General features: G+C 52.4%; 1 protein-coding gene across 2 annotated transcripts in view, besides 2 other annotated features; it reads right to left on the reverse strand.

Moving 5' to 3' along the window:
- NOVA2 (NOVA alternative splicing regulator 2) overlaps positions 1–16,563 on the reverse strand; it is a 40,132-nt gene extending 23,569 nt beyond the window's left edge. Inside the window, exons 1-3 of one of the 2 annotated variants that reach the window (XM_006723230.4) lie at positions 15,965–16,563; positions 4,970–5,076; positions 3,708–3,851 (exon numbers count right to left, since the gene is read on the reverse strand). Coding sequence is in view for 1 of the 2 variants with exons in the window: in NM_002516.4 (NP_002507.1) it covers positions 3,708–3,851; positions 15,965–16,049 (229 nt within the window). In the remaining variant the exon portion in view is untranslated. The remainder of the gene's footprint in view (positions 1–3,707; positions 3,852–4,969; positions 5,077–15,964) is intronic. The other variant, NM_002516.4, reaches the window with a different exon arrangement.
- Positions 3,035–3,608: an enhancer, noted in NCBI's record as "OCT4-H3K4me1 hESC enhancer chr19:46463595-46464168 (GRCh37/hg19 assembly coordinates)". NCBI's record gives its function as "activates a minimal SCP1, AML or CMV promoter by ChIP-STARR-seq in primed H9 embryonic stem cells {active_cell/tissue: H9 hESC(primed)}" and the evidence as "EXISTENCE:reporter gene assay evidence [ECO:0000049][PMID:30033119]".
- Positions 16,729–16,888: a silencer, noted in NCBI's record as "silent region_10806". NCBI's record gives its function as "represses an Ori minimal core promoter by ATAC-STARR-seq in GM12878 lymphoblastoid cells {active_cell/tissue: GM12878}" and the evidence as "EXISTENCE:reporter gene assay evidence [ECO:0000049][PMID:35858748]".

Here is a 22,346-nt window from a genome sequence, read left to right on the forward strand (position 1 = left end):
CCGAGGCGGGTGGATCACCTGAGGTCTGGAGTCCGAGACCAGCCTGCTAACATGGTGAAACCCTGTCTCTACTGAAAATACAAAAAATTAGCTGGGCATGGTAATGGACGCCTGTGATCCCAGCTACTCGGGAGGCTGAGACAGGAGAATCGCTTGAACCTGGGAGGCGGAGGTTGCAGTGAGCCGAGATCTCACCACTGCACTCCAGCCTGGGCAACAACAGCGAATCTCTGTCTAAAAAAAAAAAAAAAAGTAGCTGGGCCTGGTGGTGCACACCTGTAGTTCCAGTTACTCAGGAGGCTGAGGTGGGAGAATCACCTGAGCCCAGGAGGTTGAGGTTGCAGCGAGCCACGATCGTGCCACTGCACTCCAGCCTGGGTAACAGAGGAAGACCCTGCCTCAATATAAATAAATAAATACAAAATAAAAAGTGTGTGTGTGTCTGTGCTTTTCTTCAGCAGTTAGGGTATAAAGCTTCAAGCAGATGTTCAACATCAGACGGTGTTTTAGAATCCCTAGGGTGGCCGGTCGCGGTGGCTCAAGCCTAGCACTTTGGGAGGCCGAGGCGGGTGGATCGCGAGGTCAGGAGATCAAGACCATCCTGGCCAATATGGTGAAACCCTGTCTCTACTAAAATACAAAAACATAAAAATAAAAAAATTAGTTGGGCATAGTGGCACATGCCTGTAGTCCCAGCTACTCGGGAGGCTGAGGCAGGGGACTCGCTTGGACCCAGGAGGCAGGGGTTGCAGTGAGCCGAGATCACGCCACTGCACTCCAGCCTGGTGACAGAGCAAGACTCCGTCTCAAAAAAAAAAAAAAAAAAAAATAGAATCCTCAGGGTGGATCTGGGCTGACGCAAGGGAGTCTGTGTGGCCCTTGCGCAGGTGCTTGCCTTTTTCTGCATTTCAGTTGCTCCATGTATGACCTGGATGGATTGAATCTAGGGCTTTGGGATCCACCACAAAGGAGGGGAGGTTGTGTGTTCTGCCCTTCTCTTGGAGTTAAGTGCCAGGTAGGTTTTTATTTCATGTAGTAGACACCCAAGTGCTGTGTGTGTGTGTGTGTGTGAGAGTGTGTGTGTGTGGGAGCATGTGTGTGAGTGGGGTGTGTGTGAGTGTGAATGAGTGTGAGAGCACGTGTGACAATGTGTGTGTAAGCGTGTGTGTGAGTGGGATGTGTGTGAATGAGTGTGAGTGTGTGTAAGCATGTGTGACAATGTGTGACAGTGTGTGTGACTGTGTGTAAGCGTGTGTGTGGGTGTGAGGGTGTGAGTGTGAATGAGTGTGTGTGAGCATGACAGTGTGCGTGTCAGCGTGTGTGAGTGTGAGCGTGTGAGACTGTGTGTGAGTGTGCATGTGAGAGTGTGAGTGTGTGTGCATGCTAACCTACTAGGCCCAGAGTGCCCTTTCAGTTTCTCCACTGTCATTTCTCACATGTTCTGTCTGCTTTGGCTACATTGACCAAACTGCTCAGCAGCCTCCGAGTATGCCATTTTGTCTTCCTGGGCACACTTCCCTGCACTTTACCTCGCTCATCCTTCCCTACTGCTCTGGTCGTCTCTTCCAGGAAGCTCTTCCTGACCTCCCTGGGCTGGGTCCTTTGTGCCACTTGGGCTCCAACTACCAACCTCTGGACTTCCTGTCCCAGCCCTGACCACTCTGGGTCATCACTGGTGTGACGTCTGCTTCCCTGACTGGGATGTGAGAACCAAGGAAGCAAGGCTGGGACATTTCAGCCACTGCTATTGTCCCCATTTCTGTCTGGCACCGGGCTGGCATAGAGGAAGTGCTCAGAGAATGTGTGTTGAATGAATGAGTGAATGAATGAATGACAGGGTGTCACGCCAGGAGTGGAGGGAAGTGTTTTTTGTCTCCTGCAGTAGCTTTTCCATTTTCCTACATTCCTGTGGGATGTAGGACTAGGATGTAGGGGGCTGTGTCCTGCTTCTCTGAGTCAGCAGCCGGCTCATGCTGTATGATCTGGAAGTTGCACGCCAGGAGTGGGGATGGGGGCTGACCACATGTCCAGGGGCTGAGGAGAGACGCTGGCTCCTGTTGCTTGTCTGAATACTGTTTGACCTGGTAGGACCAATGTCTGTCCCGCCTTCTGGGTTTCCCAGCTGCCTGGCCTGTGGGGTGTGTCAATGGGCTGGGAGGGGACGACATGTCTCGTGGCACAGAATGTGATCCAGGAGCAAGGAACCAAGTGTCCTCGGAGGAACATTCCGAACAGAGGTCTTATCCATATCTTGTGGGCTACAGGGGAGTGGGGAAAACTGGGCCAGGGTGGAAGAGAAAAGGAGGAGGTGTGCCTGGTTCACTCGATTTTTCTCTAAACCTCTTGCCAAAGCTGCTTAGTGAGATGGGAGGCTGGGGGCGGGGTGGATGGTGGAGAGAGAGAGAGAGAGAAGAGGAGAGAAGATAGAGCAGAGAGAGAATGAGAGAGAAAGAGGGAGGAGAGAGGGAAAGATAGGAGAGAGGAGAGACGGGGTGGGGAGAGAGAGAGAGACAGAGAGGGAGAGAGAGAGAGAGAGAGAGAAAGAGAGAGAGAGAAAATGAGTGCGTACTGACCCTGGGCTCCAGCTCTGGTGTTTGACCTAAAAAATCCAAGGGGATTAAGGATGAACTAGAACCAGCACTGGACCAAAGATGCAATTCAGGAGGCCTTCCCTGGAGTCCTAGATGTCGATGCTTGTCGGGCATTGGTCTTGGGAGGGAGATAGGGAGAGGTGAGAGACTTTGGAGGGAATAGAGAGAGTGGAGGGGCCTTGGAAAATGTATGGTTGGGGGAGAAGGATGGAGCAGGGGGAGAGGCAGAAAAGGGACTGGGTTTGGAGGAAGGGAAGAAAAAACCAGGAGGGAGCTGAGACTTAGGAAAAAAGAGACACAGGAAGGGAGAGGCAGAAAGAAATGTGTGACGCCCGCAGAGGAGGACCTCAGTGAGAGGGGGCTAGTAGATACTGGTTGAATGGATGATTGAACAGAGTTCAGAGAGAGAGAGGAGGAAAGGAAAAACGTGAGACTATGAGAGGTGGAGGGAAGGAAAGGATGGGGAGAGAGACAGGAAGACAAAAGGAGAAGGAAAGATGAGGGGAGGGACAGGGAAAGCAGAGGACAGATGAAGAGGACAAGAGATGGGGGGTATCCAAACAGAACCAGAGAGATGGACAGAGAGGCAGACAGAGGGGCAAGAGACAGAGGGAGGCAGAGGGGAGCAAGAGACGAGAAGTCAGAAACAGAATGAGAGGGAGACACATAAAGAATGACACCGAGACAGAGAAAACCAGTGAGACTGGGCAAGAGGGGGTGACAGAATTCCAAAGGGGGGAGCAAGTGTGTGGAACATGGCTGGCTGGCCCCCAAGCCCGGAGGGACGCCCTGACACCTGCCTCCCTCCCCACCCTCGCTCCTCCAACTGACCAGAGGGGGCAGGTGTGTGGGAAAAGACACATCTGCCAGCGCATCATGCAAATGAGCTCATGAATATGCAGCAGGCCCGTTGTCTTGCCCTGCCCCCACCCCCATCTGCTCGGCCAGGCCCCTCGGGCTGGGGGCAGCTCTGTCCCCTTAGGGGAAGGGGAGGCCCCCTCCCCACCACTGTCACTGTCCTTAGGGCAGACCTTCCCCCTCATCTAGGGCCCAGGTGGGAGGGAGAAAGGGAGGAAGGGCGGGGGGCCTAGGGCAGAGACCTGGGCCGGGGCTCACCGGGGTAGAAGTCTTTGGACTTGGAGAGCTTGATGGTGGCTCCGGTCTCCTTCTGCAGCTGCACGATGGTCTGCCCGCCCTTGCCAATGATGGAGCCCGCCGCGTAGCTGGGGATCAGCACCTTCAGGAAGTATTCGCCTTCCTCTGCGGGGGCACACAGGGTGGAGGGGAGTCAGCGGGGGAGGGGTCTTCACCTTTGGAGGGGGTGAGCAGAGGAAACCCCAGGGGTCACAGTAGCAGTATGGAGAATAATACAAATAATGATCTTCATTCACTCATTCATTCAACAAATAGTTATTGAGCACCTGCTACGTGCCTGGCACTGGTCTAGGGAAACAGCCAAGAAGAAAATAGACAAAGCTCCCCGATTTGTGGGCAAATGAGGCAAATAAGGCCGAAAGAGTTTTAGTGATTCAGCCAAGAGCTCGCACAGCTAGCTACATTCTTCTAGGTGGGGAAGACAGACAGTATATTTCATGTCAGATGGTGGGACTCCTGATGACACAAAAAAGGCAGGAAAAGGGGGTCAGGGAGGGTGGGAGGCTGCAGTGTCAGAGAGGGAGGCCAGGGAAGCTCTTCCTAAGAATGTGGCAGGCTTTATTCATCATCACACACTTTTGCAGCACCTGATAGGTGCTATACTGTTCTAAGTACTTTCCAAATACCAGTCCTTTGAATTTTCACACTTATCCTATGAAGGAACCCATCATACAGATGAGGAAACAAAGGTGAAGAAATCACCCAAGGACACTTGTAGGTGGCAGAGCTGAGATTTGGAGTCCATGCTCTGAACTATTATGATCATCAGGATATGGAGGAAGGAACGGAACCACATGGCTATGTGAAGGACGAGTGAGTGCAAAGGCCCTGAAGTGGGACTGTGCCTGTGCTCTTCCAGAGGGACTAAGGAGGCCCCTGTGCCTGGGGCTGAATGAGAGAGGGGAAGAATGGGAGGAGATGAGGACAGAGAGGGGTGCTGGTGGTGAGGGGTGATGGGGCTCGCAGGCCACAGTGAGGTCCTTAACTTTTACCCCAAGTGAGATGGAGCCATGGGAGGGATGTGGCCTGACTTAGGTTTTAGGAGGATTCCTCTGATGCCCATGAGGGGAGCAGACCGTGAGAAGCAACGGTGGGAGAGGTGGGGGCCCAGTGAGGTGGCGACTGCAATGGTCCAGGCAGGAGGTGACGGCGGTCTGACAGGTGGAAGCGGTGAGCGGGGAGGCAGAGGAAGGCCGGACGCTGGGGATGCTCCGAACACTCACTTTTGATCAGGCGCTGTGCTGAGTGCTTTGTGAGCTTGATCTCGTCCGTTCCTCACAACCTCCCGGTGAGGCGGGTGGAATGAGCTCCATTTTTACACAAGAGGAAACTGAGGCACAGAGGGGCACAGAGAAGTGAAGGTACCAGCCCACGGTCATCACCAGCCCAAGGACACGAACACAGCTACTGGGCTCAGATTCAAATCCAATTCTGATTCAGTCTCCTCCCATCATTGCTTAACACCCTCCACTCCTGGGGGGACCAACACGATGAAGGACAGCCTCGAAGACCTAGATGCAGTGCCAGCGGCAGCTTGTGGAGTTTTGGCCATTCTTTGTTATAGGCCAATTTTTCTTTTCCTTTTCTTTCTTTCTTTTTCTTTTTTTGTTTTTCCTGAGATACGGCCTTGCTCTATTGCCCAGGCTGGAGTGCAGTGGTGCAGTCTCGGTTCACTGCAACCTCCACCTCCCGGGTGTAAGGGGTTCCCCTGCCTCAGACTTCCGAGTAGCTGGGACTACAGGCGCCCGCCACCACACGTGGCTAATTTTTTGTATTTTTCGTAGAGACGGGGTTTCGCCATGTTGGTCAGGCTGGTCTCAAACTCCTGATTTCAAGTGATCCGCCCACCTCGGCCTCCCAAAGTGCTGGGATTACAGGCGTGAGCCACCGCACCTTGCTTATTATAAACCAGTTTTTTTGACCATGTGAAAAGCATTTTGTTAATGTAGTCTCAAGGCAAGCATCTAGCCTCCCCTGCCCGTTGCCCCTACGTGCCTCCAGGATGGAAATTCTGGACACTTCTCAGTATAAGAAGACCCTTTGCGGCCGGGAGCGGTAGCTCACGCCTGTAATCCCAGCACTGTGGAAGGCGGAGGCGGAGGCGGGCAGATCACGAGGTCAAGAGACGGATACCATCCTGGCCAACATAGTGAAACTCCGTCTCTACTAAAAGTACAAAAATTCGCCGGGTGTGGTGGCGCGTGCCTGTAGTCCCAGCTACTCGGGAGGCTGAGGCAGGAGAATCGCTTGAACCCAGGAGGCAGAACTTGCAGTGAGCCGAGATCGCGCCACTGCACTCCACTCCAGCCTGGCGACCCTTTGTGACTTGGCCCCACCCACCTTTCCAGCTTCACTTCCTCATCTTCCTCCGTGAGCCTCAGGCTCAGTGCATATTTTGTTCCTTAAACGTGCCCTGCTCCTTCCCACCTTAGGGCTTTTGTGCATGCTCTGTGCCTGGCAGCTTCTCTTCCCCTCAGTCAGTTTCTTTTTTTTTTTCTTTTGAGACAGAGTCTCGCTCTGTCGCCCAGGCTGGAGTGCAGTGGCGCGATCTCGGCTCACTGCACGCTCCGCCTCTCCGATTCACGCCATTCTCCTGCCTCAGCCTCCCGAGTAGCTGGGACTACAGGTGCCCACCACCACGCCCAGCTAATTTTTGTATTTTTAGTAGAGACGGGGTTTCACCATTTTGGCCAGGATGGTCTGGGTCACCTGGCCTCGTGATCTGCCCTCCTCGGCCTCCCAAAGTGCTGGGATTACAAGCGTGAGCCACCGCGCCCGGGCCCCCTCAGTCAATATCTTTTGTCCTTTAGGTTCTCACTCAAATGTTTCTTCTTCTTGGAAGCTTTCCTTGAACCCCAAAGATAGGATGAATCCCCGTTTCATGCCTTCAGAGTAACTGATCACAGAGGTCCACTGTGGATCACATCCATAGAGCTCACCCATGTCCTAGGGACTTGAACAGTGTCCCCAAAACTTGAACAGCACATACTAGGTTTGCAATAAGCACTGGGAAAAGAAAGGGAGGAGTTAGGCCATCCTGCTTCCAAATTTTAAGGTCTTAAACCATCCCCCAATGGTTTTTCAACTTTTAAGCAAAGGAAGCCTATTTTCTTTTTTTCTTTTTCTTTTTCTTTTTTTTTTTTTTTTTTTGAGACAATCTCGCTCTTGTCACCCAGGCTGCAGTGCAATGGCGCGATCTCGGCTCACTGCAACCTCCGCCTCCCGGGTTCAAGCGATTCTTCTGCCTCAGCCTGCGGAGTAGCTGGGATTACAGGTGCCCACAACCATGCCCGGCTAATTTGTGTGTGTGTGTGTGTGTGTGTGTGTGTGTGTGTGTGTGTGTGTGTGTGTATTTTTAGTAGAGATGGGGTTTCACCATGTTAGCCAGGCTAACATGTGCTGAGATTACAGGGGTGAGCCACAGAGCCCAGCCAGGAAGCCTATTTTCAATGTCTCACGTAAAACCTCAACATACAGAACAGATAAAAGAGAAACTGCTCTAACACTCTCTGATCTCTCTCTCTCTCTCTCTCTCTTTCTCTTTCTCTGTTGCCCAGGCTGGAATACAGTGGTGCCATCACAGCTCACTGCTGCCTCGACCTCCTGGGCTCAAGTGATCCTCCTGCCTCGGCCTCCCAAGTAGCTGGGACTACAGGCACATGCCACCACTCCTAGGTAATTTTAAAATTTTTTGTAGAGATGGAGTTTTGCCATGTTGCTCAGGCTGGTCTCGAACTCCTGAGCTCAAGGGATCCAACTGCCTGGGCCTCCAAAAGTGTTGGGATTACAGGCGTGAGTCACCATGCCTGGCCTCTGCCTGGCCTCTTAAGATGAAAGTTCTGTGTTCCCTTATGTGTGTAAGATGGGGGTGTGGTAAGAGGGGCTAGATGTGGCTTTGCAGGCATGGGGAAGGGTCCAGAATTAAGGAGTTTCCTGACACCAAGGCAATCCTCTTAAACTTGCTTAATCAGACCATTAAGCCTATTAGGTAATTAACCCCTCTCTGGTGCCTTCCTACCAATCATCCTGACCCCTACTGAATTCATTCTCTTCCATGGACTCACGGATATGTCCTCTTCCCCACCCTCACCCTAAACTTGTCACAGATAAGGGGTCCTTTATCTCCAGAAGGCTCAGAAAGATGGGGAGGGAATTCTCACTAATCCCTAGGACTCCGTCCTCTCTCTGCTTCTTCAATTTCACTCCCCATCTTCTCTCCCAGCCAGAGCATCTTCCCTGCTTCCCTCTGAGGGTGGAAGGTATTCATTTTCTCTGAAGAAAACTGGGGTCACCCTCTTCCCCATCTTCTGCCCCCTCTCTCTTGTACTTCTTTAAACTGTCCCTGAGAATTTTTGTATGAAACAGCAGAAGCAACTCTAGACTAAGAGTGACGTTTATGGTCGAGCGCAGTGGCTCACGCCTGTAATCCTAGTGTTTTGGGAGGCCAAGGCGGGTGGATCACTTAAGGTCATGAGTTCGAGACCAGCCTGGCCAACATGGTGAAACTCCCGTCTCCACTAAAACTACAAAAATTAGTCAGGCCTAGTGGCACATTCCTGTACTCCCAGCTACTCGGGAGGCTGGGGCAGGAGAGTCGTTTGAACCCAGGAGGCAGAGGTTGCAGTGAGCTGAGATCGCGTCACTGCACTCCAGCCTGGGTGACAGAGTGAGACTGTGTCTCAAAAAAAAAAAAAAGTGCATTTTGCCACTGATGGGCTCTATGCCCTTGGGCAAGTCTCCTCACCTCTTTGGGCCTCAGCTTTCCTCATCTATACAATGGGAATCATGATAGTGCTACTTCATGGGGTTACTGTGATTAATGAAATGAGGAAATGTAAGGAAAGGTACTTCGGATGGTCCCAGGCACATAGAAGATTTGAGAAATGTTAGATATCATCATTATCAGCATTGCCTACACCATGAACACAAGTTCAGTGCTTATCACAGCATCAGACACAGAGCAAGCACCCTATACGTGGGGTTTGGGGGTTGGGTTGAGAGGTAGGAGGAGGGGTGATCCTACTTTGTTAATCACCCATTTCCCTAGGGGGCTGTCCCAAACTTTTCCCTCCTTCTTGGAGGAGGAATGTCCTCTCACTGATACAAGCCAGACCTTGTCTCCATTCTCTGCACTCAGCCTCTCTCTAATTCCTGTCTTTCTCATGCCACCTTCTAGAATTTTGCCCCTTTTATGTCCTTCTGTACTGGAATTGTTCTTTCTTCTCTTTTTCTCTCCTTCTTCCTTCCCTTCCTCCAACAAATCCTTCCTGAGCACCCATGACCTTCCAGTCCTTGGTTCAGGTGCTGGGGATGCAGCAGGGAACAGACAAGGTCCCTTTCCTTTAAATTCCTTTTAAATTTTAAATGCATTTATTTACTTATTTATTTATTGTATTTTTAGTAGAGACGGGGTTTCACCATGTTGCCCAGGCTGGTCTTGAACTCCTGGGCTCAAGGGATCTGCTCACCTTAGCCTTCCAAAGTTCTGGGATTACAGGCATGAGCCACCGCGCCTGGCCTAAATGCATCCATTTAAAGAAGAAATTAGGCCGGGTGTGGTGGCTCACACCTGTAATTCTAGCACTTTGGGAGGCCGAAGCAGATGGATCACCTGAGGTCAGAAGTTCGAGACCAGCCTGACCAACATGGTAAAACCCCGTCTCTACTAAATACAAAAAATTAGCCAGACGTGGAGGCACATGCCTGTAATCCCAGCTACTTGGGAGGCTGAAGCAGAAGAATTGCTTGAACCCGGGAGGCGGAGGTTGCAGTGAGCTGAGATGGTGCCACTGCACTCCAGCCTGGGCAACAAGAGCGAAACTCCGTCTCAAATAAAAAAAAATTAAGAAGAAATTTAAAAATCGTTGCTAACAATTGGAGCTTGAAGGGCTGGTTGTTTTTGTTCTCCCTAACATACATTAATATAAACATACAATGTTCAAAAATGAAAAAAAAGTTTGTCCATGGACCACCTTAAATCATCTTGTGGGTGGCTTGATGGTCCCTGTATCAGACTAGTGCAAATCTGACGCCTGGAGCCCCCTCTTCTAGTGAGTCTCCTATGAACAGTGATTGGCTAAGACCTCCCACCTGTAGAGACTCAGCACTTGAATTCCCAGGAGTCCCCGTTGTGAGCATCAGTCTGTGCTGGTCCTTCCCAGAATTTTATGCACATCTTTTCTGTTTGGGGAAGTTTCCCACCATGTGAGTCCTACCTCCCCAGAAAGAAACCAGGTCTCTATTGACCAGCCTTCCTCACAGCAAGGGCAGACACGTGACCTCAGCTGAACTCGGAGCCCTCAGCCATTACGCACGCCCACCCTGTTTGAACAACCAAGGCACTGCTTGTGAGAAAGTTCTCCCTTGTAGTGAGGCAGAATCTACATGCCAGAACTCCGCACCCACCCATTCCCATCCCACTCTTCACTCTTCCCTTGAGTCCAGGCAGCTCCCTCTACCCGATGTAAGAGTCTGAAGAACTGAAGATAGCAAGTTCAGGTCTCCTGACTAATTTCCTGCTGCAATTTCAAACATTTCCACCTTGGAAAGGTGCCGTCTTTCCCCTTCTAGTCACTGAGTCTCTGCTCTTGCTCCTTTTGTATCCACCCCCTCAGGGATGCTTCTGACGGCTTTCAAAAATCCCAGCACTTTGGGAGGCCGAGGTGGGCAGGTCACCTGAGGTTAGGAGTTTGAGACCAGCCTGGCCGACAAGGTGAAACCCTGTCTCTACTAAAAATACAAAAGTTAGCCGGGCATGGTTGTGGCACGCCTTTAATCTCAGCTACTTGGGAGGCTGAGGCAGGAGAATCACTTGAACCTGGGAGGCGGAGGTTGCAATGAGCCGAGATTGCGCCACTGCACTCCAGCCGGGGTCACACAGCAGGGCTCCATCTCAAAAAAGAAAAAAAAAAAATCAGCCAATACTCCCTTCCCCCTTCCATAAATAACAATTGCCTACCCAAGAGATTTGGGGTGTTGTAGTAAGAGTGGCCTATTTTAGTGTCAGAGAGTTCACCCTCTAAGGTGGCTTTGATCTTGGGGGTCATGAATGACAAAGGTAAAGCTGAAGGGGTGTGGGTTGTTGAGGTGTTGTTTTTGGTGTTAGTGTGTCCAGATGCAACATCAATGTTGGGTGTTGTCCTCATGGCACCTCATGGTTTTGTTTGGGGGCTGGGGAAGGGAGAGCTGGCATGTTCTATGAGGGTACGAGGAGGCTGGGGTTTGACATCGGTGTTGTCATCGGGAGCCTGTGGGGATGCTGCTGGCAGAGAGGGTGTGGGGTGGGAGCAGTACTGCCGAGGAGGGGTGGGACTTCAGGCATGTGATGTGTTTCTGTGAATGGCGGTGTTGCCTATTTGGTGTGAAATGCAATACAACTAGAGTGTGCTTATGTAGGGATGAGATGCTGAAAGGTGTGATGCTGCCTTGAGTTGTGACGGTCTCTAAGTGAAAGAAAGGCAGATGGGCCACGGTTTTCTTGGAGTGAATCACCATTGGATGGTGGATGGTGAAAAGGGAAAATGACATACACTTATATAATAATAATGATGATGATGATGATGATAGCGACTGTTTACTGAGCACTTACCATCTACCAGCCTTACGCTATGTGCTTCACATATGCAATCTCATCTAATGCACAAAACCCAGAGAGGTAGATCTTCCTGCCTCCATGTTTCAGACAAGCAGGCTGAGGCTCAGAGTAGTGAAATAACTCGCCTGAGGATTCCACACCAAGCACATGACGGTGGCAAGATATGAATCCTGAAAGAGCTCATTCTAGGAGGGGCTCTTAACCTGGTGATGTTGACTTCGTGATAAAGAATGTGGCCGGGCGTGCTGGCTCACGCCTGTAATCCCAGCACTTTAGGAGGCCTAGGTGGGTAGATCACCTGAGGTCAGGGGTTCGAGATCAGCCTGGTCAACATGATGAAACCCCATCTCTACTAAAAATACAGAAGTTAGCCAGGCGTGGTGGCACATGCCTGTAATCCCAGCTACTTGGGAGGCTGAGGTACGAGAATTGCTTGAACTCAGGAGGTGGAGGTTGCAGTGAGCTGAGATGGCACCACTGCACTCCAGCCCGGGCGATACAGCGAGACTCTGTCTCAGAAAAACAGAACAAAACAAAACAAAATAAACAACAACAACAAAAAACAAAGAATGAGGGATGTGGCTGGGAATGGTGGCTCACACCTGTAATCCCAGCACCTTGAGAGGATGAAGTGGGTGGATCACCTGAGATCAAGAATTTGAGACCAGCCTGGGCAACATAGCAAGACCCTGTCTCTACAAAAAAATTCAAAGAATTAGTCAGGCTTGGTGGTGCACACCTGTAGTTCCAGCTACTGGGGAAACTGAGATGGGAGCATCACCTGATCCTGAGAGGTCAAGGTTGCAGTGAGCCATGACTGCACCACTACACTCCAAGCCTGGGTGACAGAGTGAGACCCTGTCTCAGAAAAAAAAAAAAAAAAAAAAAAAAAAAAGAGGGATGTTAGGAGCAAGATCTGGCTGGTGTAAGCTACGTTGAGGGTGTGAGATATGTATGTATGTCTGTATATGGGTTTTTATTTTGGGGGGGTTGACAGAGGTGGGAATATAGTCAGGAGTACAGGGGTCATTATTGTTGCAGCTTAAGAGTTACGATCTGTATCAAGGGGGCCACTGTTTGTTATTGTCCTGCCAGACTGGGGTCATTTATTTCTGCAAGGAGTCCCTGACTAGAGTTTCCGTCCAACCTCTTCACCCAAGTCTTCCTGCCCTTAGTGCCTTGTTTTCCTCCCAGCGGCATCTGCCAGCCACTCACAGTGCCCAGAAGCAAGTGTGAACTGCCACCATCTCCTCCACTTCTCCCATCTGCTCCCAGAAGCGGGCAGGAGTGGGGCAAGAATCTCATCTGTCCAGTAGGCCACTGCTTGCTGGGACACCCAGGAAAAGCCCTCTGAGCCTCAGTTTCCCCATCTAAAAATAGGGTCCATTCTAGTGTCTCCCCACACAATGGAGCCAGCCGCCTAAGTTCACATCATGGTTCTGCTGCTTATCAGCTGAGTGACGTTGGGCAAGTGACTTAACCTCTCTGTGCCTCAGTTTTTCATCTGTAACATGGGTTAACATGATAGAATTGTTGTAAGGATTAAGGAATTGATCCATGTCAAGCACTTCCCATGATAGTTCCTGGCATACTGCAGTATCGTAAGTCTAGCCATTATTATAACTGATTATTATTATTCCATCATAGCATGTTGGGAGAGTGATATGAAATTGCACGTAAGACATTAAACAATAATATAGGTAGCTATTGTTAGTATTATCCTTGTGTTTTTTGTTGGTTTTTTTTTTTTTGAGATGGCGTTTCGCTCTGTTGCCCAGGCTGGAGTGTGGTGGTGCGATCTCGGCTCACTAAAACCTCCACCTCCTGGATTCAAGCGATTCTCCTGCCTCAACCTCCTGAGTAGCTCGGACTATAGGCGCCCACCACCATGCCCCGATAATTTGTGTATTTTTAGTAGAGATGGGGTCTCACCATGTTGGCCAAGCTGTTCTTGAACTCCTGACCTCAAATGATCCACCCGCCTCAGCCTATCAAAGTGCTGGGATTACAGGCATGAGCTACTGTGCCCAGCCCCTTATGGTCATTTTTATGTGCCCACTTGGCAGATGAGGACACTGAGGCTCAGAAAAGGGGATGGGTTGGCCCAGCATCCCCCAGCTATGAATGTATATTATTGAAAGAAGCCCTCAATTTTGGGATCAAAGTCCTGGACCCTTGCCCAGCCCTGCCCCTGAGTGTGTTTCTGTCAATGGAGGCCTGTCCCTCTGCATCTCCCGGCCTCAGTTTCCCCATGAGTAAACAGAAGCGGGGTGGGAGACAGTCTGGAGGAGATGGTCCCTAAAGGCTCATCCTAGTTTCCCCGCTGTGGAGGGAGGCAGGATAGCACAGAGGTTACGTCCAGGAGCTCCGGAACCAGGCAGCCTAGGGTTGGGTAAATTCTAGCTCCATCACTTAGAAACCGTGTGACCTTGGGCAAGCGGTTTCATTTTGCTGAGCCTCAGTTTTCCTCATCTGTAAAGATGCTCAAATCATGTCTCCCAGGGGTTGTACTGAGATATTAACCCATGTCTCAGAGTAGTAGGTGCCAAGTAGGCAGATGTGACTGTTATTAGCAGCAGTGGCATCAGTGTTAAGTTGTGCTGAGAAGTGATCAGATTCTAAGCATCTCAGTCCCTGTAGAGAAAGGTGGGAACCCCCTACCCTCTGGAGGACGGTGGTGGAGGGCTAGACAGTCTGGCTGGGCTCAGGGACCTCCTGGGTCCCTGACCTCTCCAGGACTGGGAACAGCAGTGGGGCAGGAAGGAGGGAAGGAAGTCGGGGACATATTCATGTGTGTGCTGGGGGTGGGGGAGCAGGAAGAAGGACAGGAAACTCCCTCCCATCCCCTCCCCCAACTTCCCTTTCCTCCAATTTCTGCTGGACACCCTCACAGGCATCCAGGGGGTCCCTGATTCCTGTCCCACCTGGATGGAGGTGGGGGAGGGCTAGGATGGGAGGAAGAAAGTCGGCTTGTATTCATCTGTAGGGAGGAGGTAGGAGGCCCCCACCCCACCCACTGCCAGGCCTGGCGGAGAGGAAAGGGTGCACTCTGCCTGAAGCCATCCCTCTCCCATCCGGAGGAAAAGGCCAGAGGAAGTGGAGATTTTGGCAAGGTGACCGCGGGGAGGGGCTTGTCCGCTGCGGGGTCTCCCTCCTACCAGGGAGCTAGAGGACAGGGCTCTGAGGACCCCAAAAAACCCCACCTCTTCCCTGAGCCCCCCACGGCAGGGCATGCACCTAGAGTTCCCAGCTCGGCTTTTCTTCTCTGGTACACACACCTCCTTGGGTCACACACCCAGGGAGAGCCCCTCTCTTCCCTCACACTGCCTTCCGTGGTGTCAAACATTCGGCAATCTCCAATACACACGGACACACACACAGCCTCCCTTGTCAAACACATGCAGAATCATCCCCATATCTCTGGTGTCACACACTCAGCCATTTCACACACACACCTCTCCTTGTTACACCCATACACACAGCTGGGTGTCATATGCACACGTGCCCTGTCACATGGGGACCCATCCTTCCTTCTCCTTTTTACACACCCTCGTGCGTTTCACCCACAAGCCCCAGCCTCTCCCTCGTCATACACCCACCTTCCCTGTTGCACACACCCCCTCTGATGTCACTGTTGCACACCTCCATGTGTCACACCCAGCCACAGCCTCTCTGGAGTCACACCCACACCCTTTTCTTGTCACATCCCCTCACCAGCCACGCCTGTGTCACACACACTGGACCCCTTTCCTCTGATCTACACGGCCTCTTCTGGCTGACACCCAGAGCCAGCCCATTCGGTGTCCCCCACACACCTCCTTGCATGTCACACACACCCTCTCATGTGTCACACTCTGCCACAGCCCCCTTGGGGGTGACAAGCACACACCTTTCCTTGTCACACGTACCCGCTGGAGGGTCTCAAACATGGAGCCCAGCCCCTGTCCCCTGTCTTTCTCATACACCCCCCTATGCTGTCATATTCCTGATCCCTAATGTCACACATCCAGGCTGTAGAGGGCACACATACACACACACGCACACACATACACACCTGTCCTAGCCTCACATTCTCCCACCTAGCTTTACACACCCACCATTTCCTCCATTTCACCCCACACACCTACCCAGCCTGTCCCCACGCACGATCCGGCCAGGGCCACACAAGCCTCCATCTGGGACAACCCTTGTTCAGGACATCCCCAGGGAGGGAGGCTGGGAAGCTCCCGGTCCACAGGCCTCTACTCCTTCCCCTCCCCCAGCCAGGACACGCGAGCTCGGGGAACACCCCTGCTCCGAAAGGGTCACATCACACACCCCTCAAGGACACACAGACACCTGCCCTGAGGCTCCCACGCCCCCCATCTTCTGCGCCCCCCAAGGACACTTATCACCCCCTCCCCCCCACCCCTCTCCTCGCAGACAAAGCTCCCAGCCCCGGGCCTCAGCGAGAGGAGGAGGGGGTCCAGCCCCCTCCTCAACTCCCCGCTCTGTCCCCCGCCTCGGGGAGGGGTGTCTCTCCCCTCCCCAGAGCCCTTGCACCTGCCACGGGAGGGGGGGAAAGGATGGAGAAAGGCGAGGCCCCCTGCCCGCTCCCCCGCCCCGAGCCGCAGCCCTTTCTCACCTCCCGTGTTGCTGCGCTTGGTGCAGACCACCTCGGGGGGCGTTTCGAGGGGCCTCTTGCGGGAATCCGGGGCCTCGGGCTCCATGGGGGGGGCCTGGGGCGGCGGCTGCTGCTGCTGCGGCGGCTGCGGCGGCGGCGGCGGCGGCTGCTGTGGCGGCGGCGACGGCTGCTGGGGAGGCTGGGGTTGCGGCGGCGGCGGCGGCGGGGGCGGCGGCGGCTGCGGGGCCGCGGAGGCCGTGAAGAGGCCGTGCACCGCGCCGGCGGCCATCATCCTCATGGTGGGGGGGGGCGGGGGGCGGGGGGCGGGGGAGGGGGAGGGGAGGGGAGGTGGGAGGGGGAGGGGGCGGTGGAGGGATGGGGGAGGGGGAGCCCCGGAGAGGGAAGGCGGGGGTAGGGGGGAGCCGGTTCTCGGGGGGCTGACAGAGCCTGGAGAGCGGCCGTGAGCAGGATGGCAGGGCCGAGGGGGGTCTCCGATAGGGCCGGGAAAGAACTGAGAGGTGGGGTCTCTCCTGGGACCACAGAGGCTGGGGACTGGACGCGCCACTGGGGGGACGGGACTCCCCGCTTCTTCTTGGCTCCCTGGGGCAAGAGGGCCGAGCCCCCCAGACCCTGCTCGGGGTGGGGGGCCGGAGGAGCGTGGCCGGAGTGGGAGGCGGAGGCGGCCGCTAGTGGGGGCCCGGGGGGCGGCGGGCGCGGGCGGCGGCGGCGACGGGGCTGGCGGTGGCTGCTGGCCCGAGCATCTTCTTCCCGGAGGCTCCCACAGCGCCTGGCCCCTCCCACCCAACGAGGTCACGCCCATGCCGGGTAGGGCCACGCCCTTCGGCGCCCCCATTGGTCCAGCCTTGAAGCCTGGACCACGTCCCTCTGGGTTGGCCACGCCCCTCCCGGCGGCAGAGAGCTGGACCCGACTCCCCCAGGCTGCTGGGAGGACCCCGGGCTCCTCCAAGCCGTCCCCACTCCTCACCTTGAATGAACGTTTATTGAGCACTTACTGTGTGCCAGGTCCGGTTCCAAGCAAGCACGTCACAGACGTTATCGCATTTACTCCCCAGAGCGACCAGCTCTGTGAGTTACGCTTATTATCCCTATTTTACAGATGAGGAAACAGCCTTAGGAGCTTACTTTGACTTCACTTGGTCAAGACAAGAAATTTCGACTAGGCGCGGTGGTTCATGCCTGTCATCCCAGCACTTTGGGAGGCCGAGGCGGAAGAATCACTTGAGCCCAGGAGTTTGAGACGAGCTGGGCAACAATATTGTGAGACCCCATCTCTACAAAAAAAAAATTTTTTTTTTAATTAGCCAGGCGTGGTAGCACATGCTTGTAGCCCCAGGTACTCTGGAGTCTGAGGTGGGAGGATCTCTTGAGCACAGGAGTTTGAGGCTGCAGTCAGCCATGATCAAGCAACTAGATTCGAGCCTGGGAGACAGAGCAAAACCTTGTCTCAAAAAAAAAAAAAAAAAAGAAAGAAAGAAAGAGAAAGAAATTTCACTTCACTCTTTTTCAATCCTTTCAGCTGGGAAATTCCCCTTCAAATCTTTCATCCATCCTTTGAAGAATCAACACCGTGATGCTGAAAGGGCTCAGAGGATTGAATTCACTGAGCTGGAGTTGCAGCCTGCAGCACCTGCCCTGGGGCACAACTGGCTCTCCATTCAAACAACAGCACTCAGGGCCTACCTACTAAGTGCCAGGCACTGTCCCTGATGCTGCGATACAATAGAGAACAAAACAGCCTTGGCCCTTGTACAGTATTACTACTCATGTCATTAAGAAAAATTTGTTTTCAGATGACAAAGTGGAGGCCTGGGAACATTGAGGGTGGCTTCTTCAAGGGCACACAGCTTGAGAGAGAGAAACTGGGATGAGAACGCAGGACAAGTCCAATTTCAGAGCCCAAAGTCATTGGAACTAGGGTGCCTTTCTTTGGAATGGATCATTGCTATTATTCTGTGTTCCTTGATGCAAGAATTTCCTTCTCCCTGGGTTCTTAACCTCCAAGGAATCTTTCCTTCCTGGGTTGGTCAGAGGCAAGATTAGGCTCAGAAGGGGTCTGGATGCAGGTAATTGTGGCCACTGCGTGATCTGCGGCAGGGGGATCGGCTCCAACCCCCCCCTGCTCCTCCCTTGCCATGCTCTCAGGTCCCCAGGATGGGGGAGGGTAGCAGATGGCCTGGGGTGGATGGGGTGGCTACCCATCTGTCCCCTCCCCCCCATTGTCCCCAGAGCCAAGGGGGATGGGAGGGGGCTGTGGTCCACTGCAGTCTGGATCCTCCCCCTCCATCTTCCTGGAGGGAGCTGAGGAGCTGGTTGCCATGGAGATGGGGAAGAGGCAAGACGGATATAGGGAGATACGGGGGTCAGGCTGAGTACCACACCTTAGACCCTTTGAGTCAAATAGCCTCACACCACACAGGTACATATCCCAACATCCATGAAATTAGCTGTGAAGTTTCCCCCTCTGTGTGACACACACAGAGTCACACTGGCCCTGCTGCAGGTGCACGGTCTCAACACAGTCACACAGACACACTTATAGGGGATAGGCACACGTACACACACATACACACTCATCTGTAATGCACATTCAGTCATGCAGACGCAAGGCCACAACACAGGCTCTCATACACAAATAGACAGACACACATCTAATATGCAGGTATGTCCCAGGTACACACATTCAGAGCCACGACAGCTCCACACTTGGCCCCACACACTCGGAAAAGTTACAAATCCATGATCAAAGCCACAGGACATCCATGGCCTATGTTACATAAGACATATCAGCGACATGTGATGTATAGACTGACGAACAGACTAAGTCTTTCCTTGCACACAAATTGGGTAAACACACACAACACACACATTTAGATACACGGCCCACATAGGCTAACGCACACAATAACTGGACTTCACGGGCCACTCAGTGACACGCACAACACACATGGAAAGCTGTGTGCCGCTCAGCCCCCACCCCCGAGGCATGCCTGCAGCCCCAACCCTGCGCTCCCCCCATCGAGCCCTCCCGTTTGGACACACACAACAGCACGGTCGGTCACGCACTCACACTCACACACAAACACAAACCTCCTGCTAGATATTTTTAAACCCGGGCTAGTTCTGCTGCCATGGCAACCGCCCCAAACCCATCACCATAGCAACCCAACGTCAGCTTTCCAAGCACCAAATCCTGGGGGACTGCAGGGCCCCAATCAGAGGCTGGCGGAGGGGGCTGCTGCACCCTTTGCCATCATCCATGCCACCCTTGTGCCCCCACCCCAGAGCTTTCAGGGGAGCAGTCACCCTAGTCTGGGCAGGGGCCAGAGTCAGGGACATCAGAGACCCCCACCAAGCTGGGGCAGGGGATCCCCGAACCTGCCTTTTCCTTCCAACCTGGCAGAGCTATATGGAGGGGCTCGTTGGAGTGAAGGTCAGCTTACAGAAGCCTGGGTTTGAGTTCTGGCCCTGCCATTTACATGCTGTGTGACTTGGGCATGCCCTTACCCTTTCTGAGTCTCTCATTCTTTAATTTGGAAAATGTTGCTGCTGCTGTTAATACCCCCTTTATTTTTATTTTATTTTTTATTTTTTAATTTTTTGGTATTTTTAGTAGAGACAAGGTTTCACCACGTTGACCAGGTGGGTCTTGAACTCTTGACCTCAGGTGATCTGCCCGCCTCGACCTCCCAAAGTGTTAGGATTACAGGCGTGAGCCACCGTGTCTGGCCAATATCCCCTTTAAATGACTGTTATGATTTGGTGGTTAAAAGCCCAGACAGATCTACATCCAGATTCTGGCTTTCCCACTTCTTAGCCATGTGAACTCAGGCAAGGGCCTTCTCCTCTCTATGACAAGTCTCAGGGGTAAATAGTCCAATTACATAGGGCTGCTGGGAAGATTCCCTAGCAAAGGGGTATGGCAACTGTCCTAAGAACTTTGCATGTATTCTAACTTATCAGTCTTAAACATGGTCTTATGGGTGGATTACTATTCTTATACCCATCTTGCGGAAAAGGAAACTGAGATCCAGAGAGCTTGCCTGGTGTCACATAGCTACAAAGTTTAGAAGGATGGGATTTGGGCCGGGTGCAGTGCCTCACGTCTGTAATCCCAGCACTTTGGGAGGGCGAGATGGGAAGATCACTTGAGTCCAGGAGTTCAGGACCAGCCTGGACAACATGGTGAAACCCCATCTCTACTAAAAAATACAAAAATTAGCCACGGGTGGTTGTGCACACCTGTATTTCCAGCTACTTGGGAGGTTGATGCACAGGAATCGCATGAACCCAGGAGGCAGAGGTTGCAGTGAGCTGAGATCGTGCCACTGCACTCCAGCCTAGGTGACAGAGAGAGACTCTGTCTCAAAAAAAAAAAAAAAAAAAAGAAGAAGAAGGAGAAGAATGAATGGGATGGGATTTGAGCCTGGGCAGTCAAAGACACATCTTTAGCCATTTCTCTCTCCTGCCTCTCAAAGAGGGCAGTTTGGAGAAGGGTGACAGAATGGTGCATCCTTGGAAAGGCTTTCTAGCTTTGTTTTCTGGGATGAAATGAAAGGCCTCAGTCTTTCAGCCTACAGAATGGAGGTTGAAATGATACTGCTGGCTGGAGTGTCAGGAGGATCGATAAGGCAGTTTGTACCTGTTGGGCTCTGAGGACAGGCTGGCACCCCTGAGTGCTCTTGCAGGTGTGGAGCAGATCAGGAGAGGCTGGGCGAGTGGGCAAATGGGCAAGGATTACCTGTGCAGGCTCAGGAGAGAAACTCACTGGGGCTCAAGCCTCAGCTTTCCCAGCCTGGTGATCTTAGGCATGAGATGTCTCCAGCCTAAGCCTCAGTCTTACCATCTGTCAAATGGGAATCATGACCATACTCGGGGTGTGACAAGGAGTCCATGAGCCAAAGCAGGCAAAACCACTTGGCACGGATCTCAACAAAGAGATAAATCTGAGCTGCTATTAATATCATCCATCTACTCAGCGCACAGGATTTAGGAGAGGCAGGACTGCAAACTTTTTTTGCAGGGTTTTTGCAAACTTTGTTGACTCACAGTGAGAAACACACATCATGATGCAATGCATATATTAGGTTGGTGCAAAATTCATTGCGATTTTTATCATCAAAAGCAATGGCAAAAACCGCAGTTACATTTGCACCAACCTAATACAACTGAAATGAAAGTTTCATGAAACCACGCTTCATCTCCACCTTAGTCTACATTATGTTGACACTATGTGCGTAGACTCTGATCTATTCTTTTTTTTCTTTTTTTTTTTGAGACGGAGTCTTGCTCAGTTACCCAGGCTGGAGTGCAATGGTGCGATCTCGGCTCACTGCAACCTCCACCTCCTGGGTTCAAGTGATCCTCCCACATCAGCCTCCCGAGTAGCTGGGATTACAAGGAGCCGCCATCATGCCCGGCTAATTTTTGTAGAGATGGGGTTTCACCATGTTGGTCAGGCCGGTCTGGAACTCCTGACCTGAGGTGAGCCATCTGCCTTAGCTTCCCAAAGTGCTGGGATTACAGGTGTGAGCCACTATGCCCGGCTGACTCTGATTTATTCTATGCTATTGAAAAAACTACTGGTTGATTTTACAGCCTGCTAAGCAGTTGTGACCGACAGTACAGAACACCCTGGTGTGGCGATTACAATGTGGAATCCTTGAGTCCCTGGAGGATTTTAAGCAAGGAAGTGACATGGGCATCATAGGGACGATGAAGGGGAGGGGGCTAGATGGGGGCTGGGATGAAGCCAGAATGGACTCTAAGAAGGAGGGATCCTTTGCCTTTACCCCCTGGCAGAAGCAGCGGAGATGGAGATCGTTTGAGCTTGGGAATTCAAGGCTGCAGTGAGCTGTGAGATGGAGAGGTGTGGTCATATACCAACACCAGAAAGCAGCTATCTCAGCGCTTTGCATAAAAAGGTATAGTGGGGAGGAGCATGAACCCCAGACACTCATCTGCTTGGCAAATATTTACTGAGCACCTACTATGTGTTGGGCACTGTTCTAGGTGCTGGGAATACAGCAGTGAACAAAACAGATACAAATTCCTGACCTCATGAGCTCACGTTCCAGGGAGACAGATAATCAAGTAAAAAAGTAATACATAGAGTGTGACAGATGAGGCTAACTACCGTGGGGAAAATGCAGCAGGGGAGGAGGAAGAGGCATAGGGTATGGGGGCAGGGGGGATGGCTGCAATTTTATTTATTTATTTATTTATTTATTTATTTATTTATTTACTGATGGAGTCTCACTCTGTCGCCCAGGCTGGAGTGCGGTGGTGGGATCTCAGCTCTCTGCAACCTCTGCCTCCCAGGTTCAAGCGATTCTCCTGCCTCAGCCTCCCAAGTAGCTGGGATTACAGGCCCGCGCCATCATGC

Source organism: Homo sapiens, chromosome 19, assembly GCF_000001405.40.
Source record: "Homo sapiens chromosome 19, GRCh38.p14 Primary Assembly".
NCBI classification, from domain to species: Eukaryota; Metazoa; Chordata; class Mammalia; order Primates; family Hominidae; genus Homo; species Homo sapiens.